The 25,085-nt window shown below is 39.7% G+C and overlaps 1 protein-coding gene across 6 annotated transcripts in view; it reads right to left on the minus strand.

The window, feature by feature from the left end:
- Positions 1–25,085, minus strand: part of SCML2 (Scm polycomb group protein like 2) — a 115,806-nt gene that overhangs the window by 49,107 nt on the left and 41,614 nt on the right. For 5 of the 6 annotated variants that reach the window (NR_033717.2, XM_017029219.2, XM_006724458.1 and 2 more), the window contains exon 7: positions 16,553–16,796. Coding sequence is in view for 4 of the 6 variants with exons in the window: in XM_017029219.2 (XP_016884708.1) it covers positions 16,553–16,796 (244 nt within the window). In the remaining 2 variants the exon portion in view is untranslated. Of the gene's footprint in view, positions 1–281; positions 6,204–16,552; positions 16,797–25,085 lie in introns of those variants that run through there. The other variant, XM_017029222.2, reaches the window with a different exon arrangement.

Raw genomic sequence — 25,085 nt, forward strand, 5'->3', positions numbered from 1 at the left:
ACAATAGGACTATTCTTTTTAAAAAGAAAAAAAAACATTTTTATGGTAGAAATAACCAAAGGCTTACTTTTCCCTGTACCATAAAACAATTTTTAGAAGTGACTATTCAAATAATAGTGCCAACAATTTCAATAAGTAATATTTAGAACAAAACAGAGGACATCTTTGAGATAACCAAAATTACCGAGATATTTAGTATACAAAAGCTAACAAAGCAGACAATGAATTTCTTTAACCACACTTCAATTACAATATAAAAAAACTTTTGCAGTAATTCGTACCTTTATCAATATTCCAGAGAAACAAGTTGTTGCTGTTTTTACCGTTAAGGTGATTTAGGTTCCAAATGATAGGATAGCCTTGCTCCTTACCAGGAATAAAATTGCCTTTCTGGAGAAAGCAAGTCAACAAAGCCCATGTTGCCTGAGCAAGCCTGAATTTCTAGCAAATGGGGATGAAGCTATTTGCATTTGTTGGTTTAAGGGGGGAGGAGTGGGAGGAGGGGACTAAGGGGACTGCTAAAGTAATTCGTATATTGTCTGTGGACTGTAGAGACAGTGATCATCAGTCACCTGCTCAAACCTCCTTCACTCCTGCCTTCAGAAGAACCAAAGGTCCTTCCAAAGGTTACCCGGGGTCAGAGAAACTAGAAAGAAATGAGAAGACATGCAAAATCTAACTGCTAACCCACTGCATCTATAGACAAAGTTATCCCCACCTGATCACATGTCCTAAAAACCAAGACATTTTAATAGTCTCAAGAGAACTTGCTAAAATATATCATACAACAGAAGCAAGAAAGAAAAATCTCCAGACTCTGCTTGCAATTGTTGCAGTATTTAGCTGGAACACTTAAAACAGAAAAAGGAAATTTTTTTTCCAAGATGCTTCTTTGCATCATAATAGCCATCTCATTTGCACAAGCAAAACATTTGTTCCAAGCTGTTCATATGAAAAAGAAAATATCAGCTGTATTAAATTTCATAGCTTTTGAGTCAGTCATTTAGGTTGACAGCATTTCTAACCATTTCATTTATACCAAACAAGAGTACTGAATATACTCAGTATATTAGTCCATATTTTATTATAAACTACATTAAGGGCAAAAATCTACGTAAATACTCAAGTGTTTATTCAGAAGCCTTCTAGTGGGACTAACACACCTCGAACTTTTTACAACCTTAGTTATATGCACCTCTGCCACTTTTGACCTACTGTTACACAGAAAAATAAAAAGTGCTGCTTTATGTGGCTGTAACTGAACATACACAGTCCTACAAAAACAGGGAGAAAGTTGGTGAATACATGCATTAAAAGCTATAAAATCTTAATTTTAAAATTTAGAGAGATGAAGCACAAGTTACAGATACCACATACTCCTCTCTGCGCATACCTGAACAAAGAGCAAAAAGCAGCCACAATTTCTAGTTTTGTTTTCTTAAAAATGAGAATGGGATGGGAGTGTGGAAAGTAGACCTATTTCTTGTTTGCTGAACAAAAAAATTCCCAAAAGACAAACTTTGAAACAGTTAAGAAGGAAAACATTAGAGTTTTTCAAAATAGAAAAAAAAAACTACTAAAGTGACCAGTTACATTTTTTTAAAACATCAAACGTTTAGATTTTTAAAACCCACTCCCTTAAAGTTTTAATTAAGAAAAAACTAAACCACACACATACTTGCCCATAAAATAAACCAGCATTCAAAGAAGCAGCTAACACTGCCCAAAATAATTAATTACCTTTAAGGTCTATTTAAGTAAGTTGTGAAGGAAATGCCATGTTACCACTGAGTTCCAATTCTAAATAAAGCTGTATCTGTGAGATGTAGGGGGACAGAAGACCCAATAAACGGGAAGGTTTTATCAAAAAGAGTTAAGATGGTCACTGGCAGCCTACGATGCCAAAGGACAGGAATGCTTTGCTACACTTTCCTGATTCTAGGTTTTCCCCTCCTCCACGGTTCCCTTTGGACCAGAAGAATTCCTCTATACCCTTGGGATCCTGCAACCTTATACTCGGCATCTGGAAGTTTGCTGCTTGCCCTCCTTCCTAGTCTGTAAGGTCACAATTGCTTAAAGAATTAGGCTACAAGATGACACTTCAGACCAGTGTAGGTCATTAAGTTACAATCAATGATACATAAATCTGAAGCTAAAGTTAAAAACTTTGAACATCCCATAATAATGAAAGCAATTAATACTGGGGGCAAACTTTTAAAAGAATCTTTTACTTCTTAGTTTTTCAAAAGACTAATTTCTCCAAAGACTAATAATTTGTATTTATTTATTATGTTAATAAATAAAATTATAGAGACAAAATAGTAATGAGTTTACAAACTTTCCCCAAAAAAGACAAGAAAAATAAGAGATTTTAAAAAAATTTTTCACATAGCCTTCAAAACAAGGTAGTCCTAGTTCTGATTCTAAGTTGCTGGATTATCCTGTCTTGCTCTTTCATGTATTAAATATTTGGACTTTAATGAAATGACTGGCCATATACTCCTATAAGTATATATGCACTGGAGACATGGGAATGGCAATATGAGGGAAAAAACGGTAGCTTACAGGGCATTCCTAAATTTCTATTATTTTTTAGAGAGAACTAAAATATAAGATACAGAAGAGGGGGGAGCACGTTGAAAACGGAAAACGGCAAGATCAAATAAGTTTGCAAGAAGAAAATCTACAATGGGCCTCGTTTTCATTTGCGTGATTCAGCCTTCTGCAAGTTGCCAAGGACACAGCAGCACATATGTTCCTTTCCTCTTTTTCACCAGACACTCTGTACGGGTCTCGTGAGTAAATCTGATGAGCTGTGACAGCACCAACCAGAAGCTAAGGGCTTTGAAAGATTGTAGGGTCATAACAAGAGCTAAGAAAAGAAAACTTAAATAAACAAGAGGGAAAAAGCCACACAGCTTGCTGAATTTTCTATCCAAGTAAGTTTCTCAGTGATTTTTTTCTACCATTAATAAGCCTAATGCAAATTTTTGCTGTTTCTGATCACAGAAGTATTTACACAGTTTTTAAAAATTGTTAGAAAAAGTTTTAAAGTAAATTAAACTTTATTACTATCCTTGAAAAGGAAACCAGTAAAGCTTAAATAAACATTTATTTAATGTAAAGTCCTATCAAGGAGCATTCATAGATGCCTCGTTACATTTTTTAAGAAACTAGGCAACTGTATTTCTTTAGTTATTAATTATAAAGTTTTAAGTGCTACGACCTTAAAATATTTTGGAAAAGCTGTTATATAAAAGTTGAGAGCAAACATTTCCAGTGTTTTTAAGAAATATTCAAAGTATTGTCATTTGAATGATGTGTTTAAAAAAAAAGAATAGAAACATTCAAAATAAACAAAAATACAGATTTTTTTAATTTATGGAATTCAATTAATTTAATATTATGTGTGCCTTTTGAAATTATTTAACTCTAAGACATTTAAAGTATTTAACATTCAAGTCAATAAATAATATTTCTCTCAGTTAAAAAAACTTTAACATTAAAAAGCAAACTACTGGAAAAAAGTTTTTACTTTTATGACACAGCGTTGATATGTGCAATAAATGAAGCACTCAAATCAATAAGAAAAAACACGCTAAGAGAAAAATGGGAAAAGGTGATTAGCAGGCAAACTATAAAGGAATATTAATGACCAAAAAACATGGAAAGAAAAAGATTCAATCTCACTAGTAATCTAAGAAATGAAATTTTGGAAAACAATTGTTTTTTTAATTAGCAAAAAATAACAAGAAAAATAATTCCCAAGGTTGGCCAGAGTAGGAAAAAAACACTTTCACCTACTTCTGAGGTTGGCGGAAATGGGTATACCTTTCTGAAAGACCACTTGTCAGCCTTAAAAACATACCCCTTAACCTAGCAAAGTTATCTATGGAAACAGAGAGGTATACAAAGACATATACATAAAAGTATTCATCATATCATCTAGTTTAATAACAAATCTGGAAATATTCTAAATGCTTAACAAAATAGAGATTGGGTTAAGTAAATTATGGAACAGCCATACAATGGAATGCAGTGCAGACATAAATTTCAATTTATAGAGATATTTTACATGGGAATACAGTCACAACAGATTATGAAAAAAAATAGGCAAGAAAGCAGAATATACACAATAACCCCTTTTCAAACGAAAATTGTCATTTTATTTACTTTAAAGCACAAATCCTATATACAAATATATTCTTGTTTTTTTTAAAAAAAAGCCACAGATAAAAGCAAAAGTCCCCATTACCACTTCCCTTACCATTCAACATCCTTCGCAGAAATAATCAGTATTATAGATCTGATATATAGCCTTCCAGATTTTTTTTACATATTTACACACATATTTCTAAAGGTACATATAGAAATACATATTTATTTTGTTTTGACATAACAGTATTACACTGTATATATTTGAGGGGACTTACTTTTTTCACTTAATATATCTTAGAGAGCTTTCCTTCTTAGTATAACTAGAAACACTCTCATTCTAAATTATTCTATAATTATTCTAAAGAACAACTATACCATAACTTATTTCAACATTTCTCCACTGATTTGACCATGTGTGTGTTTTCTAAAGTTATATGTGTAAGAGAAAAGAAAAGTAGTATGAAGCCAAATACCACACTGCTTGCGATAGTTGTATCCAAAAGCTTTTCCCAATATTTTGCTTTGAGCATTTACTTTTTCTATTAGAAGAAAATTGTTATGTTAAAAATTAGAATGAAAAATAATTAGAAAAATATTTTGCTTTCAAGAATATACAAATTATATCTAAAAAACTGTACTTTTATTTTATAGCTGACATCTAAATAAATGGTGTATTGCCTAAATGTTTTCTCTACTCAAAAAGAGTATTTCACTGTACTAACCACTATTAACCTATCCATAATTAATAAGCGATGCCTGAAAAAAAGCAAAATGAATCACACATGCATTATCTTTGGGTGAACGCCAACTACAAGTTTTTAACCATACTTTCCCCAGAATCCCAAAGTTCTTCTGGGGACTTCTGGGAATATTTATAAAACAGATTGTGGCAGCAGTGGGCATACATTTGTTTCTACTCTTAACTGCTTCCAAATTCTACTTTAACATGGTTTGGACTATTTGTACTCAATATTCAAAAGGCTATCAAGAAAACTGCTTTATAACCTTGAATTACTTGTGCCATCTGAAATCCTTAATTTCTCACAATGAAAGTAAACAGTGTATTTGTATATGTGTGGTTTTGCCAAGACATCAAGATTCAACAAAACCTACAAACAGAACTACCATGGTGACACTGTAAAACACCAAAGATGACATGAAAAGATTAAAGTAGCTAGATTTTAAAATGACAGATTACAGTCAGAGGAGAAATACTGACAGCTGTATTCTCAACAGCAATAATGGAAACCAAAAGTCAAAAGAATGTCTTCATTGTACTGAAAGAGAATGGCTGCCAACCTGGTATTTTACCATCACAGAAAGTGTCTTTCGAGGACAAAGCTGAAATAATGACATATTCAAATGAACATAAACCAAGACAGAATGCCACTAGCAGACCTTCAGTAAAGGAAATTCTGAAGGATCTACCTCAGAAAGAAGAAAAGTAATCCCAGATGAAAGGTCTGAGATGTCAAGAATAAAAAGCAAAGAACATGCTAAATATGTGGGTAAATCTCAACAAACATTGACTATGTAAGTAATAATAGTAATAGTCCATGAGATTTTTTAAAGATACAATAGGTAAATCACTTCAAGATGGCTGACTGGAGGCTTCCAATATTCCTCTTCTCCACAAAGAAGAACCAAAATATTAAGTATATAATCTTCAAACTGAGCATCTAAGAAGGAACACTGGAATCTAAGAAGTAAGAGGAAACACCCGAGGCATGAAAAGAGAGGAACGCAAGACAGCCAGTTTGGCCAAGACTGGCTGAGAGCCCGAAGAGGCTCTTCAGTGAGGGGAAAGGGTAAGTGAGAGATCCACAGTGGTCAATATTCCCACCATGGACTCCGCCAGCCCTAGCCACAGAAAAACCCATCACAGGCCCTGAGAACAGCTTAAGGACCTGCCTAGAGATCATGCAACATCATTGCTCTAGAAAGTGAGCCCACGTCCCAAGTCCTAAGCAACTGTAGCACAGCGCCATTCTGAGACTTCAGCCCCCACCACACTGCATCCTGCCCTGAAGCCCAACAACCCCTACATCTCCACATCCCTAGAGCCCCACCAACATCTCCCAACATCCACCCAGAGGGCTGCAGTGGCACAACAACCATTAGACCCAGCGAAGTGGCAAGATCCCCAGCACTCTACCATACACAGTGTCCTGCACCCTGGGGAACAAATGGTGCAGCACATTGGAGAGGCTGCCCACCCCGATCCAGGACAAAGGGAGCCAAAGCACGTGCTCCATAGAGTCTAAGAACCACCTACCTGGGAGGACTACTACTGACAGCAACCTTAATCCCTCCACAGTAGCAGGGCTCCTTCACACAGACTCTGAGAACAGACTCTAACACTGCCCACAGCAGCTGCCACTGGGGGCCTAAGTGTGCACCACTAGCAATTACCCCCCACCCCCAGAAGCAAGGCCACCTCTGCGTACTTGCACACTGGTTTTCCCTGCTGCTACCACAGCCGCCACCACCAGGGGCTAAAGCACATGCCCCCACCAGGGCCTGAGAACTGCCTGTCTGTGGCTGCAGCTCTCCCAAGCAGCAGTACGGAGGCACACTTGCATACACACTTGCTCTGCCTGCTCACCACTGCTGCTGCCACCCAAGCACTGCACCAGGGGTCCAGGGTATTGCCCCACCCTGCCCACCACAGCCAGTGCCCAAATACACCACCAGGGACCTGAGGACAGGCATGGCTAGCTGGCACTGCTCTCTCATTGCCCAAGTATACCTCCCGGGAGCTTGGAGACTGCCCCGCCCTGACCATCACTGCTATGCACTCCTCCTGGAGGCCTGAAGATGGGCCCAGCCAGCCTGCCGCTGTCATCTCAGCCAGCACCCACTGGCACATACCCGTTGGGGGCCTGAGGACTGGCCCACCCAGCCTGTTGCAGGCACTGTTAACATGAACACATGCTGCTTTGGGGCCCAAAAGTCGTCCTATCACCATTAGCGCCATCACCTACACCACACACACCACCCAGAGAACCAAGGACCTACCCGCCCACCCAGCCCACCACTGCCACTGCTGATATCCTATCAAGCCACCTGCAAGCCCAAATTCAGCCAGTTTGGACCAGATGACACCGGTGTCCATATACACTGACCATGGGCCCAAGAACAGGCACGCTCGGCCCTCTACTGCCATCGCTGGGGCCTGAGGACTGGCCCACCTGGCGTCCTCATCCACAGCAAAACCTCACCACAGCCTCAAACAACAACTGCAGCCTAAGCCATTGAGGAAATTACAAACACTAATGACACTGTTTACAGCCAAATAACTCATAGAGAAACTTCACTACTTCATGCACTCAGAATCAAAGCTAAAGTATCCTATCCAACCAACACATAAATACATCTTCAAAAAAAAGATTTCCCCTATAAAAGCCAGTCCAAAAAATTAGAAGCGGCAACTATTATGCTAGATGTGCAGACATCAATGTAAAGACCCAAGAAATATGAAAAAAGAAGGAAATGTGACACCTCCAAAGGAACACGATAATTTTCCAGCAACAGATTCCAATGAAAAAGAAATAGTTGAAAAAGAATTCAAAATAATGATATTAAAGAAGCTCGGTGAGATACAAGAGAACACAGATAAATAATACAAAGAAATGAGAAAAACAATTCAGGTTGTGAATGAGAAATTCACCAGAGAAATAGATAGCATAAAAAGAACCAAAGAGAAACCCTAGAAATGAAGAATTCAATGCATTAAATAAAAAATTCCTTTGAGAGCTTCACAATAGATTAGAGCAAGCAGAAGAAAGAAGCTCAGAACTGGAAGATAGGTCCTTTGAAATAGCCCCCATCAGACAAAAAAAAAAGAATAAAGAAAGCCTACATGACATATGAGACACCATAAAGCAAACAAATATACAAATTTTGGATGTTTCAAAAGATGAAAAGAAGGCCAAAGGCAGAGAAACCTATTTAGCAAAATAGCTGAAAACTACCCAAACGAAAAGAGACATCACAACAAAAGCTACAGAAATACAAAAGATCATCAGAGACTATTATGAACAACTATACACTAACAAATTGGAAACCCTAGAGGAAATGCATAAATTTCTGGACACATAGAACCTATCGAGACTGAATAAGGAAGAAATAGAAAACCTTGACAGACCAATTGACAAGCAATGAGACTGAATCAGTAATAAAAAGTCTCCCAACATCTTTGGGATGCTGGGATCAGATGACTTCACTGCTAAATTCTACCAAACTTATAAAGAAGAACACCAATTCTCCTCAAACTATTTCAAAAAATTGAAGAGGTGAGAATTCTCCTTAACTCATTCTACAAGGCCAGCATTACCCTAATACCAAAACCAGACAAGGACACAAGGAAAAAAAAAGAAAACTACAGGTCAATTTCCCTACGAACATAGATGCAAAAATCCTCAACAAAACACTAGTAAACTGAATCCAAACATAATACACCAAGATCAAGTAGGATTTGTCCCAAGGATGCAACGATAAGTTCAACATACACAAATAAATGTGATACATCATATCAACAGTATGAAGGACAAAAACCATACATCTCAACAGATGCAGAAAAAGCATTTGATAAAATCTAACGTCCTTCATGATTAAAAACTCTCAACAAACTAGGCACAGAAGGAACACTACTCAACATAATAAAGGCTACATATGACAAAACCACAGCTAACATCATTCTGAATAAAAGCTGAAAGCCTTTCCTCTAAGAACTGCAACAAGTCAAGAATGCCCACTTTCAGCACTCCTATTCAACATAGTATTGGAAGTCCTAGCCAGAGCAATTAGGCAAGAGAGATAAAAGGAATCTAAATGGAAAAAAGGAAGGCAAATTGTGCCTCGTGGGCTGGCTTTGGCTCAAGTGGTTACTTCCTCACACGACTTTCTAACCACTAAATTGTCCCTCTTTGCAGGTGACATGATCTTGTATTTAGAAAAACCTAAGGACTCCACCAAAAAATTCTTAGATCTAATAAACAAATTCAGTACAGTTGCAAGATACAAAATCAACACACAAAAATCAGTAGTGTTTCTATACACCAATAATGAAATAGCTGTAAAAGAAATTAAGAAAATTCCACTTATAATAACCACATAAGAAATAAAACACTGGGTGTGGTGGCTCACACCTGTAATCCCAACACTTTGGGAGGCTGAGGCAGGAGGATCACTTGAGTCCAGGAGCCTGGGCAACACAGTGAGACCCTGTCTCTACAAAAAAAAACACAAAAAACAAAACAAAACAAAAAACATTTTTTTAATTAGCTGGGCATGGTGACACATGCCTGTAGTCCCAGCTACTCAGAAGGCTGAGGTGGGAGGATTGTTTGAGCCCAGGAGGTGGAAGCTGTATTGAGCCGTGATCATGCCACTGCACTCCACCCTGGGTGACAGAGCAAGAACCAGTCTCAAAAAAAAGAGAGAAGAAGAAGAAAGAAAACACTTAGGAAGAAATTTTACCAAGGAGGTGAAAGATCTCTACAAGAAAAACTACAAAACGCTGATGAAAAAAACTAATGAGGACATGAACAAATGGAAAGACATCCCATGCTTATGGATCAGAAGAATTAATATTGTTAAAATGAACACACTACCCAAAACAAGCTACAGATTCAATGCAATCTTTATCAAAATACCAATGTCACTCTTCACAGAAATAGAAAAAACAATCCTAAATTTTATATGAAACCAAAAAGAGCCCATATAGCCAAAGTAATCCTGAGCAAAAAAAAGAGAGCAGTATCACACCACCTGACTTCAAAATACATTGCAAGGCTATAGTAACCAAAACAGCATGGTATTAATATAAAAACAAATACATTGACCTATAAAACAGAAAACCCAGAAATAAGCCCATCTATTTACAGCTAACTGATTTTTGACAAAGGCGCCAAGAACGTACATTGGGACACGGACACCGTTTTCAATAAACAGTGCTAGGAAAACTGGATATCCATATGTAAAAGAATGAAACTAGGCCAGGCGTGGTGGCTCATGCCTGTAACCCCAGCACTTTGGGAGGCCAAGGCAGGCAGATCACCTGAGGTCAGGAGTTCGAGACCAGACTGGCCAACATGGGGAAACCCCGTCTCTAACTGATGGGTAACCCAGCTGCTCGGGAGGCTGAGGTAGAAGAACTGCTTGAACCCAGGAGGCAGAGGTTGCAGTGCACCAAGATTGCACTGCACTCCAGCCTAGGTGACAGAGTGAGACTGTGTCTCACAAAAAAGAAAAAAAAAAAGAAACTAGTCCCCTAGACCCCTCTCTCTCACCATATACAAAAAACAACTCAAAATGCATTAAAGACTTAAACATAAGGCCCGAAACTATAAAACTATGAAACTACTAGAAGGAAACATAGGAGAAACAGTTCAGCACATTGGTCTAAGCAAAGATTTTATGGCTAAGACCTCAAAAGCACAGGCCACAAAAACAAAAACAGACAAGTGGGACTACATAAAACTAAAAAGCTTATGCACTGCAAAGGAAACAATCAACAGAGTGGAGACAACCCTTGAATAGGAGAAAATATTTGTAAACTATTTATCCCACAAGGGACTAATAACCAGAATATACAAGGAACTCAACAGCAAGAAAAAACTAATAATCCCTTAATTAAAAAGTGGACAAAGGGGCTGGGCAAGGTGGCTCACGCCTGTATTCCCAGCACTTTGGGAGGCCAAGGTGGGCGGATCACGAGGTCAGGAGATCGAGACCATACTGGCTAATACGGTGAAATCCCATCTCTACTAAAAATAAAAAAAAAAAAATTAGCCAGGCATAGTGGCACACGCCTGTAGTACCAACTACTCGAGAGGCTGAGGCAGGAGAACTGCTTGAACCTGGGAGGCAGAGGTTGCAGTGAGCTGAGATCGCGCCACTGCACTCCAGCCTGGGCAACTGAGTGAGACTCCGTCTCAAAAAAAAAAAAAGTGGACAAAGGATCTGAATAGACACTTCTCAAAACAATACATACAAATGGCCAACAAGTATATGAAAAAATGCTCAACATCACTAATCATCAGAGAAATGGAAATCAAAACCACAATGAGTTATCATCTTACTCCAGTTAGAATGGCTACTATTAAAAAGACAAAAAAAAAGATGCTGGCTAGGATGCAGAGAAAAGGGAACTCTTTTTTTTTTTTTTTTAAATAGAGACAAGGTCTCGCTTTGTTGCCCAGGCTGTAGTGCAGTGACATGAATATAGCTCACTGGGATCTCTTAGCCCCAGGGCTCAAGCAATCCTTCCACCTCAGCCTCCCCAGCAGCTAGGACTATAGGCACGTATCACCATGCCCATTTTACCTTTTTATTTTTTTGTAGAGACAGAGTCTCACTGTGTTGCCCAGGCTGGTCTCAAACTCCTGGCTTCAAGCAATCCTCCCACCTCGGCCTCCCAAAGTGTAGAGATTATAGGGTAAGCCACTATGCCTGGCCAGAAAAGGGAACTCTTATACACTGTTGGTGGGAATGTAAATTAGTATAGCCATTATGAAAAACAGTATGGCAACTTCTTGGCCAGGCGTGGTGGCTCACGCTTGTAATCCCAGCACTTTGGGAGACCGAGGCAGGCAGATCACTTGAGACTAGGAGGTCGAGACCAGCCTGGGTAACATGGTGAAACCCGGTCTCTACTAAAAATACAAAAATTAGCCAGGTGTGATGGTGCGCACCTGTAGTCCCAGCTACTTGGGGAGCTGAGACAGGAGGATCACTTGAGCCCAGGAAGTCAAGGCTTTACTGAGCCAAGATCACACCACTGCACTCCAGCCTGGGTGACAAAGTGAGACCCTGTCTCAAAAAAAAAAAAAGTTTGAGCCTTAGTCAGAAAAAGATAACAAAAACATCATCCACACAAAATCTGGTCATCAGATAAAGCAGACGTTAAGGTTAAAAAAAAAAAGATCGGCCAGGCATGGTAGCTCACACCTGTAATCCCAGCACTTTGGGAGGCCAAGGCAGGTGGATCACCTGAGGTCAGGAGTTCAAGACCAGCCTGGCCAACATGGCGAAACCCTGTCTCTAATAAAAATACAAAAATTAGCCGGGTGTTGTGGCAGACGCCTATAATCCCAGCTACTCAGAAGGCTGAGGCAGGAAAATCAATTGAACCCAGGAGACAGAGGTTGTAGTGATCCAAGTTCACACCACTGCACTCCAGCCTGGGCAATGGAGCAAGACTCCGTTTCAAAAAAAAAAAAAGAAAAAAAAAATCATTAGGTTGGTTTCCCCAGCAAAAGGAGAAAAACCATAAATAAATCAGGTTACCGTGGAAGGTTCAGTTCACCAGGAAATTATAATAATTCAAAACTGGTACACACTTGATAATACAGCCACAAAATAGATAAAGCAGAAAGCAAACACTGAAAGAAATACAAGAAAAAACAAATCCATAATTATATGAAGTCTGTAAGGGAAAAAAAATCTGAATAACAGTAGATTTCTCATCAGAAACCACAGAAGCCAGATGGAAGTTGCAGAATACTTTTCAAGTGTGAAAAGAAAAGAATTATTGGCCAGGCAAGGTGGCTCACACCTGTAATCCTAGCACGTTGGGAGGCCGAGGCAGGTGGTTCACCTAAGGTCAGGAGTTCGAGACCAGCCTGACCAATATGGTGAAACCCCGTCTTTACTAAAATTACAAAAATTAACTGAGCGTGATGGTGGGCACCTGTAGTCCTAGCTACTCAGGAGGCTGAGGCAGGAGAATGACTTGAACCCAGGAGGCAGAGGTTGCACTGAGCCAAGATCACACCACTGCTCTCCAGGCTGGGTGACAGAGCGAGACTCCGTCTCAGGAAAAAAAAAAATCAAAAAAGAAAAAAATGAAAGGAATTATCAACCTAGAATTCCATGTCCAGCAACTATCCTTCAAGAATGAAGAGGAGGGCTAGGTGTGGTGGCTCATGCCTATAATCCCAACACTTTGAGAGGCTGAAGAGGGAGAATCACTTGAGTCCAATAGTTCAAGACCAGCCCGGACAATACAGTTAGACCCCGTCTCTACCAAAAATTTAAAAAATTAGCCTGGGATGGTAACACGTGCCTGTAGTCCCAGCTACTGGCGAGGCTGAGGCAAGAGGATCAATTGCTTGCACCTGGAGAGTTGAAGCTGCAGTGAGCCATGATTGCACCACTGCACTCCAGCCTGGGTGTCACGGCGAAACTCTGTCTCCAAAAAACAGAGAATTTGTTGCCACCCAACCCTAAAAGAATGGTTAAAAGAAGTTCTCTAAACAGGAAGAAAATGATAAAATAAGGAAATCTTGAAAATCAGGAATTAAGAACAATTTAAAGGGTAAAAATGTAAATAAATACAACAGACTTTCCTTCTCTTGAGTTTTCTAAGTTATGTTTGATGGTGGAAGCAAAAATTATAATACTAATGTGGTTCTCAATATTGAAGACAATTATATATAATAGAGGGTAAAGGGACATAAAGTGAGGTAAGATTTCTAAAGTTCACTCAAAGTGAATGTCAACTGGGGTAAAGACAGAGGAAGCAGATCTCACAAAGTATTGGGAAACCACTTTTTCTTTTTCTTTTTTTTTTCTTTTTAACACTGTACATTTCCTATTTACTCCTTGACTCTCTAAATCTAGCTTTTTAAAGAAGCCGAGTAACCACAGTTTTACTAAGACCGCTAACGAGTTCTCCTCTTGCTTGACTTTTACACTGCCTTTGATAATGTTGAGTACTTTCTCCTTAAAATCTTTTCTCTCCTGTTGCCATGGAAGCCAACCTAGTGATCTCCTACATTTACGTATACTTTTTTCCAGTGTCCTAGATTGACTTCTACTACCTATTCCTTATTTTTGTGCTTCTCAAAGTTCAGGCTTCAAACCATGTGCACTGGAAACAACTGAGCCCCACTTCGAACCCACGGATTCAAACCCCTGGATGTGAGTTCCCGAGCACTCCCTTTTAACAAGCTCCCCCAGGCAATTCAAGAGTGATAATTACTGCTTTAAATGTCGACCCACAAGGTTCTGTCCTGGTCCTTTTCTACCTCTACTTGTTATACACACACAATTAAAACACACTCAAAACTTCCACCACTTGCTGCTATCAACAAAATAAGTAAACTGCTCACCCTCCCATCCCAAGCACCTATAATCCCACCTGGCACAAAGAATATTTATCTGAGGGAACATGATGACTCTCAAACCTGCTTTGTCAACAAGACCTATCTTTTTTAGGCTCCAGATCTGCATGTGCAGCTATCCAATGAACATGTGCACCTGGATGTCCCAAAGTTACCCTGAATCAGTTAGGATTGAGTTCAGCTAGCAGTAATAGAAAAACCTAAAAGAACAGTGACTTATATAACATAGAAGTTTATTTCTCACAATTGTCTGAAAACAGATAATATGGGCTAGTATGAAAGCTCTGCTCCACCAAGTTCTCAGGGACTCTGGCTCCTGGCTGCTTTCCACCCACTCCACAGTGCCTAGCATATGGTCCCCATCTCATGCTCCAAGATGGAGCTCCAGTCAAAACCACATTCGTAACAGCAGGATAAAAGCAGAAAGAAGGAAAAGGAAAGGACATGCTCATCTCTCTATAATATACTTTCTGGAGAAAGTACACACTATGTGTACTTTTATTCCATCAATCAGGACTTAGTCTCGTGGCCATACCATACTGCTAGGAGTCTGTATGTTAGGCAGCCAATTGTAATACTAAGAAAAAAAGAGAGAAGAAATACTGGAGGACAACAGCATTCTCAGCCACACGTTCCAAACCCACTGTGTTCCAAAGTGAACTCGTCAGTTTTTAGGATAAACTGGAATTTTGCACTTTTGTTATGTATCCATCCTACTTTTATCTCCATTCTGCCTGGCAAACTCCTGCTTCTCATCTAATACTCACATCATGCACCTTTTGTGATGCTTTCCTTTATGCAACCACCTTTCCCTCCAGCCAAGACTGGAAGACTTTGGGCCACCTCCACATCTAGCATACATCTCTATTTTTGCATTGCTAATACTATATCTTCTTTTTACAAATCTATGCCTCCATGCATCCCTCTTCCATTAGAAGGTAAACTTCTTGAGGGTAGAGACTATGTTTTATTTATCTTAATATCATATACACACAGATCTGTATCATACTAAATTTTACAAAATCAACCATTAATATCTACTTCCTAGACTTATGGAAGCAGGAAACTGGTTAAAGATGTACCTAATAAAAAGGACACTGTGGTATACAGTACTGTAGTATAATGGAATGTGTTAAAGTCCCGAATTACAGATGATTCTAACAGCCATTGCAAGAATAATATGGCTATAAGCTCTTACCTAGACATTATACTCCTCTGCACACTTTGCGTACTTATTTTCTACATCTATCTTTTTTTCTCATAAAAATAAATATACTTAGTAGCGTTAGTTTTTTAAGTATGTTTATATTCAATCCCACTAAGTTGATTTTTCATTTATTTATTTTTTTGAGACGGAGTTTTGTTCTCGTTGCCCAGGCAGGAGTGCAGTGGCGCGATCTCAGCTCACTGCAACCTCCACCCTCTAGGTTCAAGCTATTCTCCTGCCTCAGCCTCCTGAGTAGCTAGGATTCCAGGCACACGCCACCGCGCCCGGCTAATTGAATCCCACTAAGTTTATATTAACTTAGGCCAATGATTGGGTTCTATGCTTAGACCCCACTTAAGCCTCAGCAGTTACTCCATCATAGAAGACCAGGTTAGGCATATCTAAGCCCTTGAAAGAGTCACCAAGGAACATCAACATGTTGACAGCTTTTCTCTGAAAGAAAATATCTAGAAGATCATAGTACTCAGCTTAGGAAACACCGTTACAACTAATAAACATTACCATGACTAAAATAGCATACTAATTTATGATGGCTTCCACAGAGTCAAAAATTTTCACTGTAGATTTAACTTAAGGCTATCAAAGTGTCAATTTAACTTAAAAACAGGACAAAAATCATGTAAGACATGTTTATAACAGTTGTTAAGCCCAGTCTTTTAAAAAATATCTTTGAGATATGAACAATGGAATACCATGTATAATTTTTAATTGAATATCAACTATAAAAGGAGCTGAGTACATACCACCCCCCTTGCTTATAGCAACAAGACCTCAATGGTCCAAATATGACTTTTAGCTTTGTCCATAATCTCCAGTGTGGACTGGAACTCAGACTATGATGCTGCAGTGACCTCAAGAATTCTAATCATAGCTTTCCTTTACCTCCAGTTCTCTAGCCTGGACAGCGCTTTGTTCTGTCTGCCACCAGTTGGGGCATGTACCACCTGGTACCACCAACGCTAATCACAATGCCACCAATGACAGTTACATCTAACTTCAATAAAGTAGAAGAAAAAGTAGTTAATTATTATCTTACCACTAGTTCCTGGGGGTTGTAATACATCTCCTGTCAGGCGACACCACCCAGCTGGGAAAATATCTCGAGAATCATACTTGCACCAGTAATCAAAAGCTCCACTCCAGCCATCAAATGTGATATGAACTTCATCCCCTTTAACATCTCCAATGGTCGCAGGACAGATGAGATACGGGTTCTTTTTGTCAATAGCTTCCAGTTTCATCCCCACTTTAAAATTATTTAGTGGGGGCTTTGGTGGTTCCTATCAAAACATTAAAAAAAAAAAAGATTTCATTGTTAAGATGTATTAAGACTCATGTGCTCGAAGTGAAAAGTTGCGTATTCTCTCACAACCCTTAGCAACCAAAAATTAAGCTCCATGTTTAATTATCAATTAATACAGGAAGACAACAGTTCTCACAGATCTGAAACTCTGCTCTCCAACATCTCATATTTTCTCTGGAGCAGAGTCAAGAACCTGGAAAGAAACAAAACCAGCCGGGTTCATTCATTCAAGAAATATGTATTATCTACTATGTACCAGGAATTTAAGATTCATTGATGAACAAATATATCAAACATCCCTGCTCTGGTGGAGCTTACATTCTAATGCTGGTGATAGTAGTGGTTGCGGACAGGGAAAAGCAATCAACAAGAAATTTTACAACAGGCAGTCAAACAAACCTAACAAATATGTAAATTGGTGTGTCAAAAAGTGGTAAGTCCAAAGAAAAGAAACGACATCAGATAATATCCTAAAAGAAACTCAAAGTATAAGAATTCTAAAGAAAATGAATAACTTAAAATTTAAAAAAAAAAAAGAAACTGTAAGTATAAAATACAGACACAAGAACATGAAAGTCATATAGTATGGGGTCATTTATAATACCCAATCCAGAAATCAACATTTTAAAAGTATTAGTCACAAAAAGGTTAAAGCACGTAAATGTTAACAGGATTGCTAAAAAGCCCAAGTGTTATGTTAAAAGCAACATCTTTTCTTTCAATCTGCTTTTCATCCTACTAAATGGCACCATCACAGCAACCCAGTCACCTAAGCCAAAAGACTGGAAATAGTAATCCTATTCTACTGACACTTGTTCAAATTAAAAGAGAAAAGAAAAGAATTTAAAAAAAAGTAGTCCTGGACTGGTGATTTTCTGCCCTAATGAACATTACAATCACCTGTGACCACACCACCAGAGCTAATAATTGATCTATGGTGGGTCCTGGGAAGCAGCAATATTTTAATTATCAGGGAAATTCTAAGGTGCACTTGAGGTTGAGAACCACTACCCTAGATTCATCCCTTTCACTTACCCATAATTCAATTAAAAACCACAACCTCCCAATCAGAGCTGGATTTTAAACCTAGGCAGTCTGTCTCGGAGTCACCTCCTTGGAGCACCCTACCCCAGCATCTGCCTGGACAACTCCAATTCACCCAGTTTAAAGCCCAGTTCTCCTAGCTTCCTTGAATGCTTCCCTGACCAACCCCTGCCCACTCCTAGGCCCAGTTCCAACTGAGCCACTCTCATCTTCAATTGTAGTATCACTATAGAAATGTGTTCATTCCTCTATGAGACTAAGAGATTATTAAAAACAGCTATTCATATTATTATTTCCAGCACAATAACCAAAAGCAAGCAATTTTTTAAATGAGAGAACCAAGGAATCACCCCAAAACAGTAAATAAGCTCTCAACTAATTCTCTCATCAATTTAAAAAATATATCTGGTAGGTTGGTTTCTTTTTCAAATGCCCCCCTTAAAACCCATCTCATCACCCTGTATTTTTCTATTGTTACTCTTTACACCCTTACGATCTGGAAGCTCCTTAATTATTAGCTTCCAAAGTCCTTTTAATTACATATTCTTTTTTTAATTTTTATTTTTATAGAGATGAGGGCCTCGCTATGTTGGCCGGGCTGGTCTCGAACTCCTGGCCTAAAGTAATCCTCCCACCTCAGCCTCTCAAACTGCTGGGATTACAGGTGTGAGCTACCATGCCAGGCTGAATTACATATCTTAATTTGATTCTTAAAAACCACCCTGGGCTCAAACCTGTAATCCCTAATTCAGCACTTTGGGAGGCCAAGGCAGGTGGATTGCTTGAGCTCAGGAGTTTGACAACAGCCTGGGCAACAAGACGAAACCTCGTCTCTGCAAAAAATACAAAAATTAGCTGGGCATGGTGGCAGCACACCTGTAGTCCCAGCTACTTAGTGGGCTGGGGCAGGAGAATCACTTGAGCCCCGGAAGTCATCCAGGCCGCGGCGAGCCGTGTTCTTGCCACTGCACTCCAGCCTGGGCAACAGAGTGAGACTCTGCCTCAAAAAAAAAAAATCCACCCTGAAAGCTGGCAAGTCAAAAGGTAGATGATTAAAGATCAAAGTATTTGATAAATAGCTGGTAAGTAAGAAGCAGTGTTACATGAAAGGGCTAAAGGTTAACTGCCTGTTACTATGTATGAGAAGAAAATAGTGGGGAGGTAAGCTGCATTTAACAAAGAATAAACACGGCAGTTGACAAGTTTGTGCTAGATGCTCACAGAATGCAGAAAACATTCAAGGCACACATAAGGATCCCAGGACCTTACACTGTCTTATAACAGACTGAGACTTTCTGTAGCAAAGCAAACTAAGTTCAAATGGCAATGTATATTTTCTGCAACAAAACAATTAAAAAACTGGAATAAGCAATGCAATAGAACTAATTTTAAGATTCAAATATGTAACCTAGGCCAGGCATGGTGGCTCATGCCTGTAATCCCAGCACTTTGGAATGCCGAGGTGGGCAGATCATTTGAGCCCAGGAGTTAGAGACCACCTGGGCAACTTAGCAAAACCCTATCTCTAAAAAAGTATAAAAATTGGCTCACACCTGTAATCCCAGAACTTTGGGAGGCTGAGGTGGGTGGATCATGAGGTCAGGAGGTTGAGACCAGCCTAACCAACATGGTGGAACCCCGTCTCTACTAAAAATACAAAAATTAGCCAGGTGTGGTGGTGCATGCCTGTAATCCCAGCTACTCAGTAGGCTGAGGCAGGAGAATCGCTTGAATCCAGGAGGCGGAGGTTGCGGTGAGCCAAGATCATGCCATTGCACTCCAGCCTGGGTGACAGATCAAGACTCGTCTCAAAAGAAAAAAAAAAAATTAGCTGGGTGTGGTGGTGCATGCCTGTAGTCCCAGCTACTCAGGGGGCTGAGGCAGGAGGATCTGCTTGAGCCTGGGAGGTGGAGGTTGGAGTGAGCCAAGATGGTGCCACTGCACTCCAGCCTGGGCAACGGAGTGAGATGCTATCTCAAAAAAAAAAAAACAAAAAAAAACAGGAAGGAAGGAAGGGAGGAAGGGAGGGAGGAAGGAAGGGAGGGAGGGAAGGACAGGGAGGGAGGAAAGGACAGGGAGGGAGGGAGGGAGGGAGGGAAGGACAACCTACAGAAAGGGAGAAAGAAAATACTGGCAAACTATCCATCACAAGAGATTAATAACTAGAATATATAGGGAACTCAAACAACTCAATAGCAAAAAACAAATAACCTGATTTTAAAATGGGCAAAAGACCTGAATAGACATTTCTCAAAAGAAGACACAGAAATGGCCAAGAGATGCAAATCAAAACCACAATGAGATGCCATCTCACCCCGGTTAGAATGACTATTATCAAAAAGACCAAAAAAATAACAAATGTTGGTGAGAAAGCATAGAGAAAAAAATAAAACTACCAAATGACCCAGCAATCCCACTTCTGGGGGTACATAACCAAAAGAAAGGAAATCAGTATATTGAAGAGATATCTGCACTCCCATGTTTACTGCAACACTATTCACAATAGCCAGATATGGAATCAAAAGTGTCCATCCATGAACAGATACTTCTCAAAAGAAGACATACAAGTGGCTAACAAGCGTATGAAAAAAATGCTCAGTATCACTAATCATTAGAGAAATGCAAATCAAAACCACAATGAGATGGCCTGGTGCAGTGGCTCATGCCTGTAATCCCAGCACTTTGGGAGGCTGAGGTGGGTGGATATCCTGAGGTCAGGAGTTCAAGACCAGCCTGGTCAACATGGCAAAACCCTGTCTCTACGAATAATACAAAAAATTTGCCAGGCATGGTGGCTAGTCCCAGCTACTTGAGAGGCTGAGGCATGAGAATCTCTTGAACCCGGGAGACAGAGGATGCAGTGAGCCGAGATTGGGCCACTGCACTTCAGCCTTGGAGACAGAATGAGACTCTGTCTCAAAAAAAAAAAAAAAAAACCCACAATGAGATACCATCTCACACCAGTCAGAATGGCCATTATTAAAAAGTCAAAAAACAGCAGATCCTGGTGAGGTTGCAGAGAAAAGAAAATACTTATACACTACTGGTTGGAATGTAAATTAGTTCAGCCACTGAGGAAGGCAGTTTGGAGATTTCTCAAAGAACTTATAACAGAATTACCATTCGACCCAGCAATCCCATTACTGGGTATATACCCAAAGGAAAATGAATTGTTCTACCATAGACACATGTTCGCGTATGTTCATTGCAGCACTATTTATAATGGCAAAGATGTGGAATCAACCTTGATGTCCATCAATGGTGGGCTGCATAAAGAAAATTTGGTACATATATACCATGGAATACTATGCAGCCATAAAAAAGGACGAGATCATGTCCTCTGTAACACAGATGGAGAGCTGGAGGCCATTACCCTAAAGGAACAGATAAACCAAATGCTGCATGTTCTCACTTACAAGTGGGAGCTAAACAGTGAGTACACATGGACACAAAGAGGTGAACAACAAACACCAGGGCCTACTTGAGTTGAGGGTGGAAGGTAGGAGGAGGGTGAGGATCAAAAAACTACCTATCGGCTACTATGCTTATTACCTGGGTGATAAAATAATCTGTGCCCCAAAGCCCCCCAGCACATAATCTATCCGTATTACAAACCTGCACACGTACCCCATGTACCTAAAATAAAAGTTGGAGAGAAAACAAAAAAAATCAAGTGTCCATCAACAGGTGAATAAAGAAAATGTGATATATATACACAGTGGAATATTATTTAACTATAAAAATGAAATCCTGTCAATGCAGCAACATGGATAGAACTGGAGGTCATTATGTTAAGTGAAATGCTTTTAAAGAATTTGGTTTGTCATCATCATCGGTTCTTTAATAACTTCCTGAACACAAAAATATAATTTGCAAAAGCAATAGCTAAAATAAACAAGGAATTCTCTTTTACGGTGAGACAAAAATGGTTCTATTCTAGAAGATGGCTAGCAAAGAATGCTCTTTTAACCACCTCCCTTTTTTTTTTTTTTTTTTTTTTTTTGAGACGGTCTCTCTCTGTTGCCCAGGCTGGAGTGCAGTGGCACGACCTCGGCTCACTGCAACCTCCACCTCCTGGGTTCAAGCAATTCTCCTGCCTCAGCCTCCCGAGTAGCTGGGATTACAGGCGCGTGCCACCACACGTGGCTAATTTTTGTATTTTTAGTAGAGATAGGGTTTTGCCATGTTGGCCAGGCCGGTCTCGAACTCCTGACCTCAGGTGATCCACCCACCTCGGCCTCCCAAAGTGCTGGGATTACAGGTGTGAGCCACTGCGCCCAGCCTTTATATTTATTTTATTTATTTTTTTTCATTTCTATTTTATTTTATTTTACTTTTACTTTTATAAAAGACAGGGTCTCCTCACTATGTTGCCCAGGCTGGACTCAAATCTCCTGGGCTCAAGCAGTCCTCCTGCCTCAGCCTTCCAAGTAGCTGAGACTACAGGAACGTGCCACCACATCCAGCTTTTAACCTCCCTTCTTGATTACCTACAATATGGTTCTCCTTAAAGGCTATTTCTTCCCATGTCCCACAAAATCCGAAACCAGTCTCAGCATTCTCTGCATTACTCCTCTGCCTGGGGAATAATCCTACTCTTGTAGCCTCATGGTTCACTGTCTGCCTTCCTTCAGATCTTTACTCAAAAGGTACCTTCTCAGACCCTCCTGGCCAACCTGTCTAAAATGTCGACCTCTCTTCTAAACATGTGAGAGTATAAAACATAAGATACACTTTCTTTATTTAGCATATCTATTAAACATTTCCCCAAGTAGAAAGTAAGCTCCATAAGAGCATATTTTATGCTTTGTTTACTGCTATATTCCCAGTACCTGCCTCTGACCACAAACTAATACATGAACTTCTATCTCCTTATTTTTAATCAACTACTTATTTGACCTCACCAATAATTTTAGTCCTTTAACCTTCATTTATTCATTTACAAATATTTACTTAGTATCTACTATATTCCGGACACTACTGAAGGTTCTTGGGATATATTAACAAGCAAAAAAGACAAAATCCCTCCCTCACAGCACTTACATGCTAGTGAGGAGAGACAATAAACATAATTTAAAAAGTAAAACACATACATTAGAAATGATAAATGCTATGCAGAGAGAGAGAGAGAGAGAACAGCACAATAGGAAAAATCCAGAGAGAAATGTAGGAGGGGTTGTACAACTTTAAATAGAGAAATTAAAACAAGTCTCATATAGAAGGTGACATGTGAGCAGAAATCTGAAGGAGGGAAATGGACAGAACCAAGGCCCTAAAGCAGGAGCTGTGTCTGAAATGTTCAAAGAACACCAAGGAAGTTGAGTGTGGGTAAAATGTAAGTAGGAGAGCAGTAGGAAATGAGGTCAGACAGATAATGAGGGGTCATATCATATATAGTTTTATAGATCACTGTAAGGATTCTGGCTTTTACTCTGAGTAAAACAGGAAGCCCCTGGAAGAGTTTGAACAGAGGAGTGATATAATTTGACTTATGTGGGTTTTTTGTTTGTTTTGTTTTTGTTTTTGAGACGGAGTCTCACTCTTGTTGCCCAGACTGGAGTGTAGTGTCGCAATCTCAGCTCACTGCAATCCCTGCTTCCCGGGTTCAAGCAATTCTCCTGTTTCAGCCACCCGAGTAGCTGGGATTACAGGTGCGCAACCACAATGCCCAGCTAATTTTTCAATTTGTAGTAGAGACAGGGTTTCACCCTGTTGGCCAGGCTGGTCTTGAACTCCTGACCTCAAGTGATCCACCCATCTCAGCCTCCCAATGTGCTGGGATTACAGGCGTGAGGCACCATGCCCGGCTGTGATTTACATTTTAAAAGGAATACTCTGGTTGCTGTGCTGATGATAGCCTGTAAAGTTATAAATGCAGAGACCAGTGAGAAGCTACTGCAGTAATCCAACTGAGATTGAAAAAGACAGCTTGTACCAGAGTGTTAACAATGGAGACGGCAAGAAGTGGTTGGATTTTGGATATACATTTGTCCCTCAGAATCCACAGAGGACTGGTTCCAGGATCCACTGAAGATACCAAAATCCAAGGACACTCAAGTCCCTGATATAAAATGGCACAGTATTTGCATATAGCCTATATACATCCCCCCATATATTTTAAATAATCTCTAGATTATAAGTAATTTAAGTAATCTCTAGATTACTTATGATACCTAATAGAATATAAATGGTATGTAAATAGCTGTTATACTATATTTTTTTCACTTGTACTATTTTTTACTGTATTTTGGGTTTGTTTTTTTTTAATATTTTCAATCTGCAGTTGGTTGAACCCATAGATGCAGAACCCGAGGATATGGAAAGCTGACTGTATTTTGAAGGTACAGTCAATAGGATTTCCTTATGGACCAGATGTAGGGTGTGAAAGAAACAATTACCAAGGTTTGAGGCCTGAGCAACTAGAAAGATAGTTTCCCCTCCCTGAGATAGGGAGGTTAACAGGTGGAACTGTTTGAGATGTCCATCAGACATCCAAGTGGAGATGTAGAGTAGGTAGCTGGATATACAAATCTGAGTTGGGAGTAAGAGGTCTGGGGTAGAAATACAAATTTGAAAATCATTTGCATATAAACTGTATTTAAAGCCAGATAATTAGATGAGCTCACCAGGGGATTAATACAGGTTAGGGTTTCTCAGCCTTGGCACTACTGACGTTTGGAGCCAGAATGGGTGTGCGTGTGTGTGTGTGTGTGTGTGTGTGTGTGCGCGTGTGTGTGTGTATGTGTATTCTGTGCATTGTAGGATGTGAAGCAGCACTCATATCTAGGTTACAAAGCATCATTTCACTACTCTCTTCTCAGCATCCAAAACCAACTTATTCCCTTGTCTTTGCCCTGTTATTCCAAACCTTAGTTCAATATCACCATCCACTTCACCTATTTATACTTAGCTGCTGCTATGGTTTGGCTGTGTCCCCAACCAAATCTCAACTTGAATTGTATCTCCCAGAATTCCCACTTGTTGTGGGAGGGACCCGGGGGAGGTAATTGAATCATGGAAGCCGGTCTTTCCCATGCTATTCTCGTGGTAGTGAATACGTCTCACAAGATCTGATGAGTTTATCAGGGGTTTCCACTTTTGCGTCTTCCTCATTTTCTCTTGCCGCCACCATGTAAGAAGTGCCTTTCACCTCCCACCATGATCCTGAGGCCTCCCCAACCATGTGGAACTGTAAGTCCAATTAAACTTTTTTCTCCCCAGT

This window comes from Homo sapiens, chromosome X, assembly GCF_000001405.40.
Source record: "Homo sapiens chromosome X, GRCh38.p14 Primary Assembly".
NCBI lineage: Eukaryota > Metazoa > Chordata > Mammalia > Primates > Hominidae > Homo > Homo sapiens.